This window comes from Homo sapiens, chromosome 6, assembly GCF_000001405.40.
Source record: "Homo sapiens chromosome 6, GRCh38.p14 Primary Assembly".
Taxonomy (NCBI): domain Eukaryota; kingdom Metazoa; phylum Chordata; class Mammalia; order Primates; family Hominidae; genus Homo; species Homo sapiens.
Window position 1 is genome coordinate 39,927,058 of NC_000006.12, and position 22,272 is coordinate 39,949,329.

Genomic DNA, 22,272 nt, shown 5'->3' on the forward strand with positions numbered 1-22,272 from the left:
GGTCCAGGATCCAATCTTAATTCTAAATCCAACTGCATTTATGTTTTCAAATCTAATTCCAAGTAGGACACAGCTTCTATAATCATACAACTCAGCCTTGACCCCTATCTTGCCCCTGAAGCCCACCTGGCCTGGTAAGCAAGGGGTAGCAGGTGAAGAAGTTAGAAAGCAGAACTGGAGGACACAGGAGGATTTCCAGGCACAGGGAAATTTCAAGGGCTGCTTCAGCAGATGGACACCAGCCCAGAGAGGGCCCAGGAAGGTGACTCACATCTGAGGTTGCACTTCTCTGTGAGGGAGATCCGCAGGTAGCTGTGCTGCCGGCCGAAGCTGTCTGTGAGGAAGGCGGAGAAGGGGGCCGCATGCTCCCGCAGGAACTGCCTCCGCCTGGACACCTCCTGCGAGGACAGACCAGGGAGGAAGCATGGGCCCCTGCTACCGGGCTGGGAAGAGGCACAAGGAGAACCGCCTGCCCCCTCCCTTACTCTGACATCTGTGCGGAGCTTCCAACTCTTCCACATGTTTGGGCTCTGCAATGTTGGGGAAGCTGGGATTGTCCCTCTCGTTGAGAAATCAGCTTGATGGGAAGGACCCACCCCTTAAGTATTCAGCTTGGGGGTCGGGGGCGGATGGTGATCTCTACTGGGAAGATTTCTGGCTGGGCAGCAAGGTGGAGGCAAGGGTGTGGGGAAATCTATTAGCCCTTATTCTTCACTCTAGCCAGTGCCAAAAAAAGGATTGTGCACCCATGGTCTCGGGCATAAATGAGAAGAGACTGCTGAAGGCCACAAGCAAGGCCCAAACCCGTCCTGCAGAGAGAAAGGAGGGAGCCGGCTTCACTCTTTCCCATGTACAAGTCTGATCTAGTCTGATCCGTCTCCCCCTGACCTATCGGTCCTTGGAGAGTACAACCTGGGTCCCGACAGATGCTGATGAGATAATTGCTCCAAGGAAGTAGCATTTACCAAGCATCTTAAAGTTTCCAAAGAACGTTCTGTTTCATTCCCACACCCACTCCACAAGGGATTATTATAACTAAGGCTTGGATGGGGTCCAAGAACACCCTCGGCAGAAGCAGGATTCAAATCCAGGTCTTCTGATTCCAGGTTCTTTTTTTTTTTTTTTGAGATGGAGTCTCGCTCTTTTGCCCAGGCTGGAGTGCAGTAGCGCGATCTTGGCTCACTGCAAACTCCACCTCCCAGATTCATGCCATTCTCCTGCCTCAGTCTCCCAAGTAGCTGGGACTACAGGCACCCGCCACTGCACCCGGCTAATTTTTTGTATCTTTAGTAGAGACGGGGTTTCGCTGTGTTAGCCAGGATGGTCTCGATCTCCTGACCTCGTGATCCACCTGCCTTGGCCCCCCAAAGTGCTGGGATTACAGGCATGAGCCACCACACCCGACCCTGATTCCAGGTTCTAAATTACTCCCTTCTATCACAGAGAGAGTCCAAGAAGATAGGGAGGATGACAACTAGGGTGGGTAGAAGTCACTTCTCTAGAATATTTCAGACAAAAAAATCACGACCCTGGAAGTCATGCATGAGATCTACAGACAAGGTTCTGGAATGGGAATAAGAAACCCTGGTTTCTGCAGTAGGTATGACCTGGTACACTGTGAAAGTCCCTTAACTTCTCCAGGCCTGCTTTCCCAGTTGTAAAATAAGAATACAGCTACAGGCTAAGGTTGTCTTGCTAGGAGTAAAGACAGGGGTGGAGTGGTAGTGGTGGTATCAGAAGATGGTAGGTGAACACTTAAAATTATGATGAAGAACAGAAGGTCTCAGGCCCTCCAAAGGTCTAGCGCAACTATGCCTACAATTAGGAGGAAGAAGCATTTGCTTCAGTAAGTTCCTCAGCTCCAGCTGCACATTAGAACCATCTGGAGAACTTTAAAAAAACATTCCAGTGGAGACCAACTAAATCTGGATCTCTGAATCTGTTACGTTTTCAATCTCTCCAGGTAATTCTCATCGGCAGCCCTTGACTGGGTCAAGAGCCACTGAGTGGCTCAAAGATAAGAGACATGAGAGTATGTGTGAAGCTGCTCTTGATTTTCTGGGCCCATAAAACATTCCTCACTCTACCCACCGCGGGAGAATTTCCCACCTCCTCTGAGAAGCCCTGCTCACCATCCTGTGGGGAGTAAGCAGCAGTCACTTCTCTAACTGCCGTCTGCTATAATCACAACAGTCACTTCCTCCCTCCCTGCGGTATGATGGAGAAAACTCAAACTCAACCCATTGCCTTTCCACAGATAGCCTCAGGGTTGGGGCGGGGAGCACTCCATAATCAAGAATCCCATCAGCCACCGGAGTCCAGATGAGATACCTGGGAATCTGGATGTATTGCAGTGCTGTGCCCTCTTTTTCATCAACAGCTATTTGCAATTCAGTCATGTTAGTCACCCTAGATTCTGCCTCTTCACTTGCCAAGATACCCCCCCTCAACCCAGTCTTGACATGATGGGGGGATGGGGTGGCTGGATGGGGGAGGAGTCAAAATACATCAAAGAATTGGAAGTTGAGAGGACCAAGGAGCATTATTCAGCAGAAACCTGAGAGCAAGCAGTGTGATGGAGCAATCAAGAATGGAATTAGGGGCCGGGTGTGGTGGTTCACGCCTGGAATCCCAGCACTTTGGGAGGCCGAGGAGGGCAGATCATTTGAGGCCAGGAGTGTGAGACTAGCCTGGGCAACATGGCAAAACCCCGTCTCTACTAAAAAATACAAAAGTTAGCTGGCTGTGGTGGCGCGAGTCTGTAATCCCAGCTACTCGGGAGGCTGAGGCAAGAGAATCGCTTGAACCCAGAAGGCAGATGTGGCAGTCAGCCAAGATCGCACCACTGTACTCCAGCCTGGGCAACAGAGCGAGATTCTCTCAAAAAAAAAAAAAAAAAAAAAAATGGAATTTGGTGCTTTTGTTCTGGCAATGGGAGAGGCTGGTCAGATTTCACTTTTAAGAACTTCTGTGACCTTGTCTAGACTTATGCAGACTGCACCACCCGTTCTGAACCCAGCCTCCTAAACACACACACTCTCACCCTGCCAGCAATGCAAACTCATTACTCAGATATTAACGAGCCCCATTCCTGCATCTTCTCTCCTCTAACACTGCATGCCCTACTTTCATTCTTCTACTTTTTTCCCTGTCCCTTAAGTCTCCTGGAGGAAAAAAATATCAGCACCAGTCAAAGGAGCCCAAGATTCAGAGGGAATTATAGGACAGAGTAGACAGCAACCCTGCTTGCTCAGGAGGGCTGGGACATGCCAGAAGTAGTAGGAAGCACTCAACGGATCATATTCCCAGGGTCCCAGGCTGGCCTGGGCTGTTTCCTCTCCGTGAGAAGTCATTCTGCCTGATTCAGTATCCCCAGTGTCTAGCACAGGATGTTGGTACATTTTGAATCACATGAACAAATAGTCCTGTCCCTAATGTAAGCAGAAAGGTCGTATATGCAAAAGCCAGTTACATGGGGGTAATCATTTCCCGGCTGGTCTCTACTGTCAAAATGGTTTAACCTGGTATAGTGGTTTGAAACCCTGGCAGCCCATCAAAATCACTCAAGGAGCTTCAAGAAGGATTCTAGTTTCAAGAAGGAGCTAGAATCTGTCCCAAAGATTCTAGCTCAATCTAGTGCCTCAGCTGTGCAGCCAGGGCTGAGAACCATCGGCCTAGTGACACCAAGTGCCAGGTGCTATTTTAATCCAGGGCAAGTTGTTGTGGTTCTGAGCACAGGATTTGGAGTAGGTGAGCCTATATTACAAGCCTGGCTCTAGCTGTTGAGCAAGTCACCTAAATTCTCGAAACCTTAGTTTCCTCATCTATGCAGTGGAAATAATAATCCAACCTAACTCAGTTGGAGGAGTTCCTGGCACCGAGGTTTTCATTCAGTGATCCATGGAGGAACACTGTTGTGTGCTGTGATCAGTTTTTCTAGTTTGTCAGCTTCCCTTCCCTTCCAAGACCCTGGCCTTCCAACCCTACTAACAGCAGATGGCCAGAGGCAGGGTTTCAAAGCTGCTGCCACACCACCCAAGTGGGGTCTGAGCATCCCCAGGACCACCAATACTGGTGTGCATCAGCAGGCACTAAGCAGCCTGCCAGACACTACTGGTCATCTCATGTCTACCCAATGCAGATTAGGGTGAAGGGGGTGGGGAAGGGTGGGACAAAAGAGTTAAAGCGGGACCCTGCCCTCAAGGTGCCCTCCTCTACTAGTCACTCATCTTAGGCATCTGATTTGACTGCTAAAGGCTAGCCCTCAAATAGCTCCAAAGTCTAAACAGAGCAGCAGGGTTATTCGAGAGGAAAAAAAGCACATTCCAAATCTAAGTATCGTGGCCCTGATTTACCCTGCTATTGGGATGATGTATACTAAGGGTCTCTTAAAATTAATCTCTTTTAAATGAGAGGACCCAACAAAGAGCCTAGCCTAGCTCGATTCTCCTTCCCCCTCCCCTCATTCCCACCCTAAGTGTGAGGTCTTTACACCTATAGCTTCTGAGGAGGACAGTCACATTTCGCTGAAACATGGATTTTGAGGAGCTGGGCAGATTGGAAGTCAAGATGACCTCCTGAAAGCCCTCTTTCCCTCCTCCCCCTCATTCTCCCTCACCAGTGCCTGCTGTACTCCTTCTACCTTCACCCACACCCACTTCCTTGCAGCCTAACCCCTAGCCAGCATTTGTTTTTTCTGGCCCCCTGAACAGATGGGTGCCTTTGCCTTGCCTAGACTCACCCTCCCTGCTTCCCCCGCCACAGGCAGCAGGCTTCATTGTTGCCCAACAAAGCCTGCATGGAGCCTCAGAGGGAGAAAGAGGGATACAGCACTCCCAGGCTAGGCTGAACCCTACAAAGATTGTCTGGGCCACCCCAGATGCAGGCTGGCAGGTTGCTGTGTCTCCCCCACCCACCTCCCCATTGACCCACACACTACTCCTTTCCATAGCTAGAAGCTACTCGACCTGTTCTTGGACTCAGCCCACAGCCCCCTTTCCGCAATCCTCACAGCCAGCTCCCACTTAACCTCACTTCTCTCCCTCACACCCTCATCCTGCCACACAAACAATGCCCAGTGGCTTTCCATCCTAGCTCTCCAAGCACCTCCCATCCCAAACCAGACTACCAGAGCCCTGTGTGGGCGTGTTGGGGGAGACAGACCCTGCAAGAAGGGGTTCAAGGTGTCCCCACCCCAACTGGCAAGCTCTGGAGATGAGCAGAACATATCCATTTCCAGACTCACCTCCCCTTAGAGTCTCCTCAAGACAAGTTTCTGTGCCCTCCCCCATCTTATGATGGGCTGGCCCAGTCCTCTCATTTTATAAACATGAAGCAAAGGGAAGTGACAGCCCCAGGAGCCAGGTGAAATTGGAGGCGAAACTGGCGGGTGAAAACATGGGACTCCCTGTCCAGTGTGGTCTACTATGCCACGTGACTCCTCACTAGTTAAGTTTCAAGCAGCTACAATTATTGGCTGAATCCACTGCCTGCACAACCCTGCGTTAAGCGCTTGTGGGGATAGAAAGGCGGAGGTGCACCCAGCCCTCAGGAACTCCCAGTCTGCTGAAGATAATCCTAATGAGATGTCCAGGATTCAATGTGAGTTGACAGAATAGCTATCCAACAAGTCCAGATGGGAGGGGACTCACAGGACAGAGCATGTGCCAGTGGCAGCATGGATAATAGTAATTACCACCAACATTTACATAACACAGCACTTACATGGGCTAAGCTTTGTTCTAAGTATATACGTTAACATACGTTAACTCTTTTAATCCCTGTGACATCCTATGAAGTAGACACTTTTATTCTTACTTTGCAGATGAGAAAACAGACACTGAGAGGTAAGGGGACTTGGTGAATCCCTAATAAGGGATGGGGCTGCCCCAGAGTCTATGTTCTCCTTTCTGCCACATTACCCCTCCCTTCACAGTGTAAAGGGATGGATAGGAGCAGGCTCTCTCCCTGGCCTCCACACAGGGAGGACGGAAAAGCATTAGAGTTGAGTTCCTGCCCTCTACAGCTCTGCGACTGGAGGAAAGTTAACTTAGATTAGCCCCCTCATCTGAACATACAAACTCTACTCACCTCACATGGCTTAGTGAGGACTAAATGCTTCCACATGTGAGTCACTCAACACAGGTTCTCTCATGAAAGACCAGTACAAAATAAACTAGGGGGTGGGGGGCTGGAGAAGAAAAGTCCCTTTTCTTGAATTCTTTAAAGATCTCTCAGCCATCTTTGCTTTCCTATCTCTTCCTCAATGATGTTCAGAGTTTGAGGATACTAAAAAGTCTTCACTTCCCAACCATGGGCCTGCTTATCTGAGGATCCCAGAGGGGCTTAGATTTGGGGAAAGCAAATTTGGCGGAAGTCATTGAGCAATATAGGGGAGGAGGGAGCAGTGATCTTATGAATCCCAGGACAGGAAGCCTAGTTCTGGGAGACGGGGAAAAAAACGCCTAGATAGGTACCGAAAAGAGGTTTCACTAAATGAAAAGAGGTACTTTTCCCCCCAAATTATTCCCTAACCACCTGAGCAGAAGAACAACCAAAACCTAAAACTTTTAATGACTTGAAACACTCTGAGGGGTGCTGGCAAGGACTGAGGGATCTTACCCAAAACCCTAAAGACAGAGGAATTAATTTCTCACCTGGAAGAAGCCACGTCCTGCCCTGTTCTGCTCTAGGATAAGGCTGAACCCTCCCAAGGTTAATAAAAAAGACAAGGAGAGTCAGCAAAGGATGGGTTACAGAGCCCTGGGACTACAGTAACAACTCATCGTTGGTGACACCGAGGTGACATGTTTAGTCAGTCGCACTATGAAGCAGGTGTCACAGGGACACCTGATCTCTCAGCTCTTGGGATAGGGAGGGAAAATGTTTAAGAAAGAGGGTGGGTGCAAGGCAAGGCTGAAAGGTACTAAGACACCTCACTGGACCCAAAGTCCCAGTCCTCTGCTTACCCGAATTTCTGGCCAAGCTCAGGGCTAGAAGGGGTGGCGTGGCTGGGGGGCAGGGAGGTTCTGAAGCGGGACTCCCAGGAACCTCTCCCGCTGGGCTAGCGGGTGAGACCGGGCGGTCCATCTGGAGAACATCGCTCCACTGAGGAGTGCCAACGGGTCCCTCCCAGAAGCGGTCAAGCAGATAGGCCGGGAGCTACTGGGGGAAAAGGGCAGTGTGCCGGGGCCACTCCTGCCCCGGGAAGCTGTGGACGCAGGCGGGGTGGGCTCACCTCCGAGGCAGCTCGCGCGGACTCCCCGGGGCAGGGCTGGGTCACCGGAGCCCCTGAGCTGCAGCTCCGGGCGCTGGACCTCAGAAGCCGCCGCAGCATCCGGGACAGTGGCCGCGCCGCCATGAAGCCTGATACGAGCGGAACCGCAGCCCGCTTCGGGAGCACACTGGCCGGGCACTCGCCCCCGGGGTCATCCCAGCAAGGGCGGGGAGGGGCAGGGGGAGGGCGGGACCCGCGCAGCCAATAGGCGAGGACGCAGTCCCGCGTGGCCTTGTGGGAGCTGTAGTACGCTCCCTGTGCCCACTTTCCTGGGCCGGGGTAGCGCTCTAGGGCAGAAGGGTAAACTCAGGTAAGGAACGGGGTTCTTTTCCTTCCAGTTTTTCTGGCTGCTCTAGTCTCAGATTTAGGTCGTGGTGTGACAGTAGGCAGGACAGGACAAGGGCCAAACGAATGAGGCACTGCCTTGGATGCAAAATTTAAGAGGGTGCCAGGTAAACTGCGGTTATCAAAGTAAGTAATTTTTTAATGTAATATTTCAAAAAATCGTAATAAATTTTCAGAAGTCCGTGAAATATCAACATTCTAAATAAAAAGATTTAGCCTACACTTGCATGACTCACATCACTCAGTGCACCATAGTGCAGATTGTGGTTGTAAAACGGTCAGTTAGGTCTTTCAAGATACACTTCTCCAGTTGTGCCCCAAAAGGATATTAACAATCTTTTTTTTTTTTTTTTTTTTCGTGGAGAAGGCAAGAGTATATGAGAAGTCACAGAATGAGTGGACAACATTTTTGAAATGCTTCTTATACACCAAGCACCATGCTAAATGTTATTTAAAACAATCCTGGTATGAATAGAATGTCCTTTTTGCAACTGAGGACATTGAGGCTTAGAGAGACCAGGTAATTTTCTCGAAGTCACACAGCTGATAGTGGGTTTCAAACCCAGGGCAATCTGCTTTCTACAGTCATTCAGTCAAGATTCAGTATGTGTTAGGAATGGTGGGGTGTGCCTCTTCCTCTCTATAAAAAGCAGAGTGCTGTAGTCCTTTAAGATTTTGGATAACACACACAATAATGAGCTTATGTACTAAGAATAATTATGCTCAAACCAGCCTGTTGTATCCAAAACCCTGTCCCTGTGGAATTGCAAGAATAAAACACCGGCTGGAACATACAGCTGCCAAGTGCATGCTTAGGAAGTGGGAATATAGCTCCTGATCTTGAAGAATTGACCGAATAGTGGGAGAGGAAAAAATAACTGAATATAACTGACTTTTACAAGTGCAGTGGGACTGTCAGAAAAGCTGAGATGATTTTAGCCTTAGATTCAATGTGAATTTCTCACAATGATACTCAAAATTCAGAAAATATATTGTAGGGGATGAAAGTGTATCTGGGGTGTGTTTGAAACTGATGAGACAAGTATGCCAGAGGTCTGTTTGCAAGGGGCCTGAAGACCAACTGAGGACTGTTCAAGCTCTGTCCACTGCTAAGTTTAGATATGTCTGGATTTATCAGGAAAACTGGGTATGGGGGAGAGAAGGATAAAAACTTTTTTTTTTTTTGTATGTATGAGGCTTGAAGAGCCTTCTAGAGAGGACTCAACCTCAGGGAAGAAGCCATCTGACATATGAACTTGATCCAAGAATGTCACCAGCTCCTTGGAGCCTCTCTAGATTCCACCCTCTTCATACAAGTTGTATGTGATCATCCCTTCACTTGGGCTTTACTGTCATCTTTTATAGAACTTGGGTCTCCAAGGCAAGACCTAAGGCTTACTCAGTTCTGTTTGAAGGCTGAAATCCTCTCCATATTATCATACATCTACTTGGACTCCTGTAGTGCTGGGAAACTTTCTGGCTTCCTGATGTTGTCTGGTCCACTTAAATGTTTCCCCACCTATTAAAGTTCTTACTTGTATTCAGCAAAAAAGTGCCCCTTTCTGTCAACATATGGTGATTAAGTGTCATCAGGGCCGAATCCTCTGCTAATGGCTGGGAATAAGGAAATACTTTCAAGGGCTCACAGCCTGCAGTAGGGCTCTGATGTGACAAGTCCATGGATTGATTTGGAGGGTTCTGTAGACCCCTGAACTTGAATGCATAATACTGTATTTTTTTTTCCTGGGGAATGGTGGCTTTTTGTCACATGCTCAAAGAGCCTCATGGAACATACTGTCCTAGAAATCTCTCTTTTGTGATACCCTCCTATTGGCCCTAGTTTTAGCCCCCTAGGCATATACATCCTCTCTTTGAGACTTTAACCCAAGTACTCTCTTAGTGATAAACAGCAGCAGTTATTGCCAACCCTTGTACACAATGTCTTGTGAGCCACTGCACTATCTTCTCTAATACAATTTGGTTTGCCTAGGTCCTGGTGGCAGACTGTATTTGCAAGATGGCTGCAACAATATTTCCTGTCTCGTATGTTCTAGAGCTGTGTTGTCCAATAGAAACTTCTGCAATAATGGAGATATTCCATGTCCTGACATAGCTATTGAACACATGAAATGTGGCTAGTGTGACTGAGAATTGAATTTCTAATTTTATTAAATTGTCATTAATTGAAGTGTAAACAGCCATGTGTGGCTACTGGCTACTGTATTATTCAGCCCTATGATAGAATTTTGCTTTCTCCAGAAGGGGTGGAATTAACTTTCCTTCCTTTGCATCTGGGTCAGTTTGTAACTTGTTTGTAACAGTGTGAAAGTGATACTGCATGGCTTTTGAGACTAGGTCAGAAAAATATGATGCAATTCCCACCTTACAATTTATCTCTAGTGATCTGTTCTCCAGCTGACAGGAAGATATGTTTCTCCTTATTCCCTACCCATTTTCTCCGCACTTGACTTTCATCTCCCAACTCCCCCTCAAAAAAAGATCCAGGATGTGATTTCCAGCCATATGTCCATTGTCTCTTCTAATAGGAACCTCAAGTGTCCAGTCATCTGAATATTCATTCAAACCTATCCCCATTCTATCAGTAACTGTGGACTCTCCTTGCAATTTTAAGCATTTTAATGAAGCAATAAAGTTTCAAAAAATATTGTATCAATTATTCCTATCATTTCTCTTTTGAGGACCTTGTTCAGGATAGTCTTTATTTGCCCCTCCAGATCCTTCTCCACCCTGCTCTGAGGACCAGGAGATTGACTTCTACCAACTGCATTGATGGCATCATCCAGGTGCCCTGACCTCTGGTTTCCAGGTGGATCTTGCCAATAGGGAGCATGGCAGGAGATCAGAGAGCAGGAGGAGAGAAAAGCTGGATTATCTATTCTTCCTGATCTCCCCTGTTTTGCTCTGGCTACAGCTGTAGTTGGTGTCATCTGGCCTCTCCGCCATGATTCCACCTCCCACTTAGTCCAGTAACACTATTTCTCACATTTGTTTCTTCACTTCAGACTGGGGTGGGATTGGCTTTCTTCTGCTGATTGTCCTTGGATGCCTCAGCATTCCTGTTGCCCCCCTCAGCCCGCCCACCTTAACCTTGCCCACACCTCCAAAATAGTCTCTCTTAATGGTAAAGAGCAGCAGTTACTTTTTTATTAAAACTTCATTAAAATATCCCTTCAAAACTTTTAGCTGAGTATGCCGTTTCTTGCTGGTTCCCTGATACAGGATTCGTGGACTCCTCCCTTCCATAGTACCCTTTGTTAATAGTGGCAATTACAACAGAGTGACATTGTTTATTTATATGCCTTCTGCACTATAAACCCTCTGAGGGCTGTTGCCAAATCTAAATCATCTGTAATCATACCACCTAGCATGGTATTTAATGCACAATAGGCTCACAATAAGTACATTAAATGGCAGATTCCATATCCTTGATTTGCCTGTAAGATGGCTGTTATGATTTGGATATGGTTTTTCTGTCTCCACCAAATCTCATGTTGAAATTTGATCCCCAGTGTGGCAGTGGTGGAAGGTGTGGGTCATGGGGGTAGATCCCTCATGAATGGCTTGGTGCTGTTCTCATGCTAGTGAGCAAGTTCCCAGGGGAAGGGATTAGTTCCCATGAAAGTGTGTTGTTATAAAGCCAGGACACTTGTCCAGTTTGGCCCTTTTGTACTGATGCTAGCTTCCCCTTTGATCTTCTCCACCATATCTTGACATAGCACAAAAGCTTTCACCAGAGGCTGAGCAGATGCTAATGTCATGCTTCTTGTAATGAGATAAATAAACCTCTTATCAATTGCCCAGCCCCAGGTATTCCTTCTATAGAAGTACAAAACAGACTAAGACAGCTGTGTCAGTCAGCCTGGGCTAGATTGTACTGTTGTAACAAATAACTCTAATATCTCAAAGGCTGAAAATCACAAGTGTTTATTCTCTCATTTGGGCTACATGTCCAGGAAAGGTGTATTTGTCTGCTTTACATTGCTGTAAAGGAATAATGGAGACTAGGTAATTTATAAAGAAAATAGGTTCATTTGGCTTATGGTTCTGTGGGTGTATAAGAAGCATGGTACCAGCGTCTGTTTCTGGTGAGGGCTTCAGGAAGCTTCCAATTATGGTAGAAGGCAGAGGGAAGCAGGCATGACATGGGGAGAGGAGGGAAGTCACATTAAACAACGAGCTCTTGCATAAGCTAATGCAGTAAAAACTCACTTGTCACCTAGGGGATAACACCAACCTATTCCTGAGGGATTTGTTCCCTTAGCCCAAACACCTCCCACCAGGCACCACCCTCCAACACTGGGGATCAAATTTCAACATGAGATCTGTAGAGGACAAACATCCAAACTATATCCAAGAGTTAGCTGTGAACTTTGTTTCTGGTCAGTGTTGCCCTCACTCTGGGTCCCGGCCTGATAGGGCAGCGAATATCCACATAGAACATTGGTGGTTACCAAGAGGGAAAAAGAGTGTGGCAAACAGCAAACTGGCTCTTACAGCTTCTTCCTGGAAGTGTCACACATCACTCTGCTTTAAGCAAGTCACATGGCTGTATCTAATTTCAAAGGGAAGAGCAGCTTAGTCCTCTCTCAGAGAGGGAACGCACATGCTGGCGAACAGTAAAATAACCTTACTCCAGGAACAAACTTCCCCTTGCTCTCTTATGTATCATCCAGTTTTTCCATTCAACTCTTCCACTTCTTTGCACCTATCACTCCCCTTGCATACTGAAACCAGCCATGGCAGCCTTATGCATCTGCATGTATCATGCATACCCTCAGAGCCATGAGGTGCTGACTAGGAGTCTCTTGTTTAGATTCTGTCATCAGCAAAACTAAGAGAAGAGTTTGTAATACCTCTTTAATTCGATTGTTTTCAAAGTGTGGATTTCAGAGGTCAACACTAGTTTCATAGTAATATTAAGAAATCGTGCCAGGCGCGGTGGCTCCTGCCTGTAATCCCAGCACTTTGGGAGGCCAAGGCGGGCGGATCACAAGGTCAGCAGATCGAGACCATCCTGGCTAACACGGTGAAACCCCGTCTCTACTAAAAATACAAAAAATTAGCCGGGTGTGGTGGCGGGCGCCTGTAGTCCCAGCTACTCAGGAGGCTGAGGCAGGAGAATGGCGTGAACTCGGGAGGCGGAGCTTGCAATGAGACGAGATCACACCACTGCACTCCAGCCTGGGCAACAGTGCGAGACTCCGTCTCAAAAAAAAAAAAAAAAAAGAAATCGTCTTTTCCACTCTCATGCTCCTATGACCATATAGGAGTTTTCTATGTGTGATTTCACAGATTGAACGCAGAAGCAGATATGAGAATCCAGTTGCCTTCTACTAAGCCAGACATGAAAGCAAGTTGCCAAAATGTAGCGCAATGCCACTTTTTTTCCCCTGTTTTTGTTTTGGAAATTATTGTTGTTTTCATAAAGCATTATGTTAACATGTAATAGGTATTATGGACATTATTATTTTTCAGTGAGTTAAATGTTTTCAGATTTTCTGAGTTTGAATTTCTAATATCATAACTATAAATCAAATAAATTGATATAGTAAATAGAAATTAAATATTTCAAAAGATCTGTTGTACGACATGGTGACTGTGGTTGATAACAATATATCGTATCTTGAAAATTGCTAAGAGATTTTAAGTGTTCTCGCCACACAAAAAAGTGAGGAAATGCAAGTGTTAATGTTAATTAGCTCAATTTAGCCATTTCATAATGAATGTTTCAAAACATTGTATATGATATATATTATTTCTGTCAATTTAAATAAGTTAAAAATAGGTATTAAGTAGATATAACACAAATAAACAAATAAGCTCTTTTGGGATGTTTGATACTTCAGAGCAGTGGTCCACAACCCTTTTGGCACCAGGGACCAGTTTCATGGAAGACAATTTTTCCATGGGGGCAGTGGTGGGGGAATGGTTTCAGGATGGAACTGTTCCACCTGAGATCATCAAGCATTAGGTTCTCAGAAGAAACACGCAACCCAGATCGATCCCTTGCAGGCGCAGTTCACAATAGGGTTTGAGCTCCTCTGAGAATCTAATGCTGCTGCTGATCTGACAGGAGGCAGAGCTCAGGAGGTCATGCTCGCTTGCTTGCTACTCAACCTTCTGCTGCGTGGCTCAGTTCCTAACAAGCTACAGACCAGTACCAGTCCAACGCCTGGGGGTTTGGGACCCCTGCTTTAGAGTATAAAGAGTTCCTGAGACAAACAATTTGAGAATTGCTGCCTTAATACACAACCTTTCATCCTCTAGAGACCTAGAGACATCCTAATTATTCTCTATAACTGCTGTGTCCACATCACCCTCCCCAAGCCATTGAGAAGAATATAGAATAAACTCTTACCTATCCCTCATTTCCCTGAGCTCCTGGAGTGGGCTGTTTTCCTATGGAGTTGATGATGAGATTGGTTTGAGGGTCCTCATCCTGAGGTTCGATAGGAGCCCTACACTGGGAATCAGCTCCACGTTTCACATCCAACCTCTGCCATAGAGTCACTTTCTCTCTACTAGTTTAGGCTCCTCATTGACTGGAAATAAAAAACTGGTCTTCAGCTTTGTTGTGAGACTTGAGTCATGGAATGCTTAAGCAAGTGCTCTGTTGTTTTTATGATATTGTTTTAGGGCAAGGAGGGCCTTACTCATGTTACCGAAACCATCCTTTCTCACATGAACGAGATTAAAGAGATTAGCTCTTTTGGATGTATTGAGCCTACAGAAAAGCTCTTATTAGAATTAGGTAACCCCCGTAAGGGATGGCGGGTTCATTATAAACCATGTATATAACTCAGCTCAAAATAGTTTAACTGTTTTCCAAGAGTAGGTAGCCAAGAGCAATAATGGGAAGTAGGGTAGGTATGATAATGAGTTAGGAAAAAATAAGGCACAGGGATTGCCAAGAAGGATGGGCCCCAACTCTCAGGGAGTCCTGAGACCCTTGGTGTGTGGGAGAACAGGAGGGGCTTGGAGGACACTGAGAACTTTCTTCTGAGGTATTCCCAGGTCTTTTGCAGGCCAGACCGTCACCCCTGTTATGAAATCATCCTGAACTGTTTTCTCCTACTGATCTTCTTAGTGTATGGTGGTTTTAAACAGGTCCATAAATTCTTAAATATTCTTCACTTTAAAAGGTGGAGCCTAGTTCCCCTCCCCTTAAATGTGGGCTGAACTTATGAACTCTAGCAAATCAAATGTGGCAGAAGTGATGGTGTTAGGCTCCTGAGGGTAGTCAGTAAAAGACCACGTGGTTTCCTCCTTGCTCCCTCTGGGAGAAGCCAGCGGCCATGCTGTGAGCAGTTCTCTGGAGATGCCCATTTGACGAAGACTGAACCTCCTGCCAACAGCCAGTTAGGAACGAAGGCCTCCAGCCAACAGCCATGTATGGGAACCATTTTGGATAGGACTCCTCCAGACCTAGTCACAGCTTCATGTACCTGCAGCCCTTGCTGAGATCTTCACTGCAGTCTCACAAGATATCCTGAACCAGAAACATCCAGCCAAGCCACTCCCAGGCTCCTGCCCCTTAGAAACTGGGTGAGATAAATACTGGTTGTTCTTAGCTGTTACATTTTGGAGTAACTTGTTACACAGCAATAGAAAATTTAAAAGTTGTGTGTGAATTCCTACAGTGAGTTGCTGTTTAACTATATTGCCTGTTGCCATCACAGGAAAGAGATGCTGTTTATGTCTGTAACTGTATTGGTGGCGTTCTGGGCCATTTGTTCTCCATGTGCCCCACCCTTCCCTGGGATCCATTCTCCACCTGTCTTTGCCCCCTGTTCTCTGCCCCAAGAGGTTGATCCCATGGACCCCCTTGCCTTCAGGCTTCTGTTTGGAGTCCATTCACGGAAGATACTGGGAGGGGAGCAGAGGACAGCATGGGAGAGAGATCTGGGCATGGGCACCTCCTCCCCGCCAACTCTGCATTCTTTTCTACCAGCCGAGGGAGGCAAGAGATGACTTTACACCTGACTTTGTTCTACTCACACCTACAGAGTTAGAGTTCACTGTGTTAAGGCCCATGCATTTAGAAGAAAAGCAACTCACGCGTGGCTCTACCTTTGAACTAGAAAATAACCTTTAATTCCCCTAAGACAATCAAATCCACTAAACTCAGGCCTAATTCCTCTGCAAGCAAGGTCAAGTTGTACTGTCTGGATTATGCAGTGGCTGTTTGTTAAATTGAGTTGGGGTAATTATCGGGGTGGAGAGATAAAACAAGAAGTATCAAAGGCTGACATTTTTGGAAACACCTCAGAAGTCCTCACGCTCATGAGACTTGGCCCAGCTGAGAATGCCACCTGACATGTTCCCTCCTGGGACAAGTCAGTGAAGGGCAAGCCTCTGTAAGTAAGGCAGGTGATGGCTTGGAAAGAGCCCTGGCTCAGCAGTGGGGGCGATCTGATTTGTGCCAGTCCTCAACTTGGCACAAATTCCCTGCTTAACCTTGGGCCAATTACTTCATCTCTCTGGTTTCATCATATGTCAGAGGGGAAACTGCCTGTCTTATCTACTTCACAGGGTGGTGGTTGTGAGAAATCAATTAGAGAGGATTTTACTATATTATTAAAATATAAGATGAAGCACAAAGAGGTGAAGTAACCAGCCCAGTGATGCATAGCTAATAAGGGGTGAAGCTGAGAACCGGGGGGTTAACATGTCCGGCTCGCAAATCCACACTCTGAAGCCCTATCCTTTCTGTGTTCTTGACCCTGACCACACCCCTGCAAACAGTCCCTTTAGTACATTCTGAGTGTCCCTTTGGCTTCCCCTTTCTTTCCTGCTGCAATCCTATGCTATACTTGATTGTCTTCCACGATCTCTTAATATTCAAAAGGGGCAGAGGAAAACTTAAAAAACTAAGCTTGAGTTAAAAAGAACTTTACATGTTGTAAAGTTCAATTTATAAAGCCACATTCTAAGTAGAGAAAGTCTATCAATCATAAATGTAAAACATAACTTTCCCTATCCTTTTTTTTTTTTTTTTGAAGAGGAGTCTCGCTTTTGTCGCCCAGGCTGGAGTACAATGGCATGATCTTGGTTTACTGCAACCTCTACCTCCTGGGTTCAAGCGATCCTCCTGCCTCGGCCTCCCGAGTAGCTGTAGCTGGGATTACAGGTACCTGCCACCACACCCAGCTAATTTTTTTGTATTTTTTTGTAGACATGGGGTTTCACCATGTTGGCCAGGCTGGTGTCAAACTCCTGACCTAAGGTGATCTGCCTGCCTCGGCCTCTCAAAGTGCTGGGATTACAGGCAAAAGCCACCACGCCTGGCGCCCGACCCTGTTTTTTTTTGTTTTTTTTTTTTTTTTGAGACAGAGTTTCGCCCTTGTCAGCCCAGGCTTGAGTGCAACGTCACAACCTCGGCTTGCTGAAACCTCCACCTCTTGTGTTCAAGTGATTCTCCTGCCTCAGCCTCCCGGTGGCTCATGCCTGTAATCCCAGCACTTTGGGAGGCCAAGTTGGGTGCATCACTTGAGGTCAGGGGTTCAAGACCAGTCTGGCCAACATGGTGAAACCCTGTCTCTACTAATACAAAAATTAGCCAGGCATGGTGGTCCCTATCCCTTTTCTAAAGAATATTATGGAGTTGATGTGAATCAGAACATAAGTTCAAAGTCTCTTTTCTGAAGGCTGAGGGGCCAGATAGATTTTGGACTTTAGGAGTGTTTGGGGTTTGAAATGTCATAAACTGTACATTATATACATTTTGTATGTATATGTAAAAGCATATGAATATAGAACATAAGACAGGGGCTAGGAAAGCCCCCAGTAACCAAGCAATTTTTCTGCAAGAAAATATTCACACGAAATAGGGTAATAAATAGTTCACATCACACGGCCATGTTTTGTTGACAGATGAAGTATGGAAAAATTTTCAGTGTACAGAAGTAGTTTAATTTTGGAATTACACTTAAGGGATAATAGACTTGAGGTAATATAGAATTGGGCCAAGGGTAATCAAGATAAACTGTTTCATTACTGAGAAGATTACACACTTTCCTTTTCTAGTTCTAGTTACCTCTCCAGGAAGGAGAACCACATTTTACAGCTTTGTTCCCTCCTCAAGTCAATTGAAGTTTGGTAGATTGGAACAGTCCCTACTAGCCACATCAAGCCATGAAACACTGATCCTAAGAAAGTAATGAGAGATTTTGCTTTTGACATGGGGATGTCTTCCATTTGCACCACCAGGCCTCCCCTCCATCTTCTGCACCTTGCTCTGGCCTCAGAAGGCTGACCTGCAGGGATGACCCTCCCCATCTGGTTCTGATGGGGCCTGTCCAGTGGGGAGCCCTGGCAGGAGACTAGAGAGAGGGAGAAGAGTTTGTGAGGGTACCAGGCCCTTGGCTGCTTCCCTTGGTGGCTGCCTTGGGACAGCTGTGTCCCTCAACTGCAGTTATAGCTTCTGTGGGTGATCCTCCCCATGTAGTTCTCTCTCTTCCTCATGATTCTTCAGGCCTAGGAGTGGGACACCCTCCACCACTCCCCTCAATACACACCCAAACCCACACCACTAGCTCCAGAATACCACACTTTCTCCTGAGGTTTCCTTGCACCCAGCCCAGACCTTTATAAATATTACTTTATTAAACTCCCAATTAAAAAAATAAACTCCAAACTTGAGTGTGGTCCTGACAGGACATTGATTGGTACAAAAGCCAAGATCAATTAAAAAGTAATAAGAGTTGGACCAATCTGTGCCTATGATTAAGTTTATTTAAATATTGCTTCCAAGTGGTAATTTAGTAGACAGTTAATATGGAAATAGTATTTTATAAAATCATTTATTAAAGAGTATTTTATGGAAAAATTATAAACTCAACTTTGTGAGTGTGAATAAACTTATTCCCTGTGTGGTCTGTTTTAAATCCTTTCTAGAACAAGGTCAAATACAGGCATGGTGCACAGTGAGCTTGGGGGCTTGCTGCCATGACTCTAGAAAACATCTGGGCAACTGACTCTTGGTCTGTGTCAACAGCTCTGAGTGCTAGAAAGTTGCATTGGACCAGGCTGTACTATCAGAGCATGGGGGTGGTATCCTACCTGTGCAGAGCCTCCCAGCAATTATACCATACACTTGAACACCCTAAGCAAGATAAGACATGCCTAGCCCAGGGGAGGAGTTCTGCAGCACATACATAGGTTACAGGAATACAAAGACTGGCCCGGCCTGATGTGTATAAGGTGGGGCCATGGAAGGGAATGACTTGTGCTTTCAGAAGCCTTAAGAGGCCTCTGACTCCTGGTGAAGCCATGTGGACCAGGGAGCCCACAGACCTCTCAAGATGGAAGGGGAGTATAGTCCAGTGGTTATGAGCATGGGCTCTGGAGCCAGGATGCCTGGGGTTAGATCCTGTCTCTAGCACTTACCAGCTGTGTGACCTTAGCAAGTCATGTCCCCTAGTGCCTCAGTTTCTTTATAATTGGAAGGGGACAATAGTATCAACTTTCTATGGGTACATGAAGGTCAGATAAGTCAGTGTTTAGTCTCAGAGCTATGCCTGACATATTGGAATGCTTAGTATTGTCACCTACTGCTATGGTGGGAATGTTTGTGTTTCCTCAAATTTCGTATGTTGAAATGAAATCCCCAGTTCAAAGGTAGAGGGGAGGCATCTGGAAAAGGACTGAGTCATGAAGCCTCCTCTCTTATGAACAGGATTAGCTCTTTATAAAAGAGGATGGAGATGCCCTTTTGCTCTTCCATCATTTGAGCTATGAGGAACAGGCTCTCAGACACCGGATCTAGTGGCAGCTTGATCTTGGGCATCTTAGCCTTCAGAATTGTGAGCCATAACCTTCTATTGTTTATAAATTACCCATTCTAAGGGTTTGTTTGTTTGTTTTTAAATAGCAGCCTGAATGCACCAAGGTCTTTATTGGAGCTGGCTGCTGACCTTGCTGCTGTGTCCTGGCCGCTGGCTTCTTTCTGTATTCTCTAAGTATGTCTGGGCCTGGCCTTTCAGTCTCTCCATCCTACCTCTGGATCTGTCTGCTATCAGTCTTTTGGGCTTTCATTAACATCCCTGTCGGGCACCACCAGACCCCTTAGTGACATCCCTATAACACACAGTCGGCACCTAGGGAGGGCCAGGTGGCCTCTAGGAGAAGAACTCTGCAATTTCACGCCTGTGAGTTATAAAAATGGACATTTCCTATGTGGGAATCAGAAACCAGAGAGAATATAAAAAGTAATAGAGACCTCAAATGAGCTAATAGAGAGGGTAAAACTGTTCTCCATCTCTGAGGAGTCAAAGAGCAGGGATAAATAACAATTTCTTTCTTTAAATTACATTTTGTACATTCCCATCTCATTTTGCTAATCAATCAAGGATAATTTCCTAGAACTGCAGTTTGGCTTTCTTCATGAAGACAGGCAGGGGACTTAGAAAACTAGGAGAACAGGTAAGCCTAGGGAGAAGCTAGGCAAAGACAAAGGCAACACCTGAGCAAAGGCTATATGATAGCTCCTTGGAGAAAGAAAGATGAACAGGAGGAGGGGCTTCCATAGGAGAATTAAGGAAGGAGAGATGCATGACTTTGAGCAGTGAGTGGTACCATCTCAGTCCTGAGTGTGACAGTTTGACAGTAACTAAAATGTTTACTGCAACTCTAATCACAGACCTTAGGCCTGGTAAAACCTTCCATTCCACTTCTAAAACAGTGTACAGTCACTTCCTCCTAAATGCATTTAATTCTCCTTTCTTGTTCCCCAGGATTTGAAACATCATATGTATGCATGCTTCTGTACGTGTTGTTACTAATGCAGAACATTTTTTCTTTTTCAGACACAAGGAGGGCTCTTAGAAATGTGTGAGGAGACTGGTGATCAGGCAAGGATATTAAAGGTGAGATCAAACCCAGGATTGCAGGTGTGCAGTCGTTCAGCTGGCTTGTCACAGTCAGCCATGATAGGGATCACTCTTCCTGAGTCTACCCCTAGGTTGCCCAACTCTCCCAGTTTTTGCTGTTCCTCCCCCCGCCCCCAGAGTGTGTATTCGGAAGGTCCCTGGCTGAGATGTGTTCTCACCGTTCTGCCTCTGCATTACAAAAGAAGGAAGACCTCACAGTGCAGCTGGAGACTGTGCTCAGGAGATCCACAATGCTACCAAGCTTCAGCTCAGTGTTTAGTACTGCCAGCCTCTTCCAGTGCTCTCTGTTTCACTCTTTCCCCAGGCACACCTTGTTTTTCTTCTACCTTTGACCTCTGGAGAAAGGGATGGGTGTAGGGAGGGAGGGAGGGGGGAGTAGCTCTTGCCTGCTGTTTCCATGCTCATTGCAGGACCGTGCTGCTGCGCTCCTATACAGTAACCACCATTTCCTGACTTGGTCTAAGGTTCATTGCTCACCTTTAGGGCAAATGTTTTCTTCAACTCCTGGTGTATGGTGCACGATCAATAAACTGAGGAACAATGATGGTACAGATATTAGGTTGCTACAAAAGTAATTGTGGCTTTTTGCCACTTTCAATGACAAGAACTGCAATTAATTCTGCACCAACCTAATATATGCAAGAAAAGTCAAGTCACTGGGTTCTCTATTTTAACATAGAGTGTACAGAGTGCAGTTGTGGAATGGAATGAAACATGACCTAACAAGGCACTGACTACATACCTTCTTATGCTTTCGAAACAAAGGGTCAAAGGGTAGAGCACGGTGATAAAATCTGCACCTCTGCCTGCTCCTGCCGTTAATTCTACCTCCCATTTCAGGAAGAGAATGTGGGGCTGAGAAAAGTTATCTATTGCTCAATTGGACCTCTCCAGTTTCTGTGAGACAATGTCCTGTAAGTACATCGCATTATCATCCACTCATTATGCTAAAGTCTCTATCATGCCTGCCTTGAGTTACATTTCGAAAGGTCCCCTGCTGTGACCTTAGCCATGTGACTTGGTGAGGTAGTTAAGGGGTTCTGCCTGTGGCAGATACTAGGCTGATGCCCTACCCCACACTTCCTGAGCTTTCCAGAGTTCAAGGCAGTTGCACTGATAGCTCCAGCATGCTAAACTCTTCCCACCTGCACTGAGGGTGTTCTCAGAGCCACAGGAGCTTGCTGGGCAAACTGTGAGGGGATGGGTGTTGTCAGGAAGGATGCTCCAGCCACAGCCGTCTATCAACAAGGCATCGAGTCAGTGAATATGTGGTCCATGGGAACTATTGAGTCCTGGTTCACAGTTTCCTGGGAGCCCCAGAAGGGCTGTGCCTTGGTTGTTTGTGCACATGAGTCTTGCCCATAAGTGCCCTGTTTCACTGCCTTTTCTTTCTTCTTATCTCTCTTACCAACACTTCACTTGGAATTTTGGGGTTTACTTCCCAATTAAATTAGCTGTACCCAAGTACTGGTCTAGGGTCTGCTTTTGGAGAAAATCTAAATGAAGATAGTTGGAAAGGAAGAAAAAGTCTACAGTGGCTCTCACCTCTTCTTTTTAGCTTAAATTTACTCTCCTACCCACTGAAAGCTAGCTTCTGGCCCTGTCACCCTGAAATTCCCCATACTGTCAAATCCAGTGATTTTGCCCAATCATATCATACTTGACCTCTAGGTAGCAGTTGACCAACCATCGCCTCCTTGGAACACACTTCTCTTTGCTCCCAAAGACGGCCTTTTCTCC

At 46.3% G+C, this 22,272-nt stretch overlaps 1 protein-coding gene and 1 long non-coding RNA gene across 11 annotated transcripts in view; one reads left to right on the forward strand and one right to left on the reverse strand.

Annotated features, from left to right (window-relative positions):
• The window catches only part of MOCS1 (molybdenum cofactor synthesis 1), a 30,293-nt gene extending 22,888 nt beyond the window's left edge, over window positions 1-7,405 (reverse strand). For 3 of the 9 annotated variants that reach the window (NM_001358529.2, NM_001358530.2, NM_001075098.4), the window contains exons 1-2: window positions 7,238-7,405; window positions 272-398 (exon numbers count right to left, since the gene is read on the reverse strand). In NM_001358529.2, coding sequence (NP_001345458.1) covers window positions 272-398; window positions 7,238-7,360 — 250 coding nt within the window. In that variant the 5' untranslated portion in view covers window positions 7,361-7,405. Of the gene's footprint in view, window positions 1-271; window positions 660-6,968; window positions 7,167-7,237 lie in introns of those variants that run through there. The other 6 variants (NR_033233.2, NM_001358531.2, NM_001358533.2 and 3 more) reach the window with 3 other exon arrangements.
• The window catches only part of LOC102723789 (uncharacterized), a 45,773-nt gene continuing 31,012 nt past the window's right edge, over window positions 7,512-22,272 (forward strand). For both annotated transcript variants that reach the window (XR_001744112.1, XR_427924.5), the window contains exons 1-3: window positions 7,512-7,586; window positions 20,449-20,508; window positions 21,373-21,446. This is a non-coding gene — a long non-coding RNA (uncharacterized LOC102723789). The remainder of the gene's footprint in view (window positions 7,587-20,448; window positions 20,509-21,372; window positions 21,447-22,272) is intronic.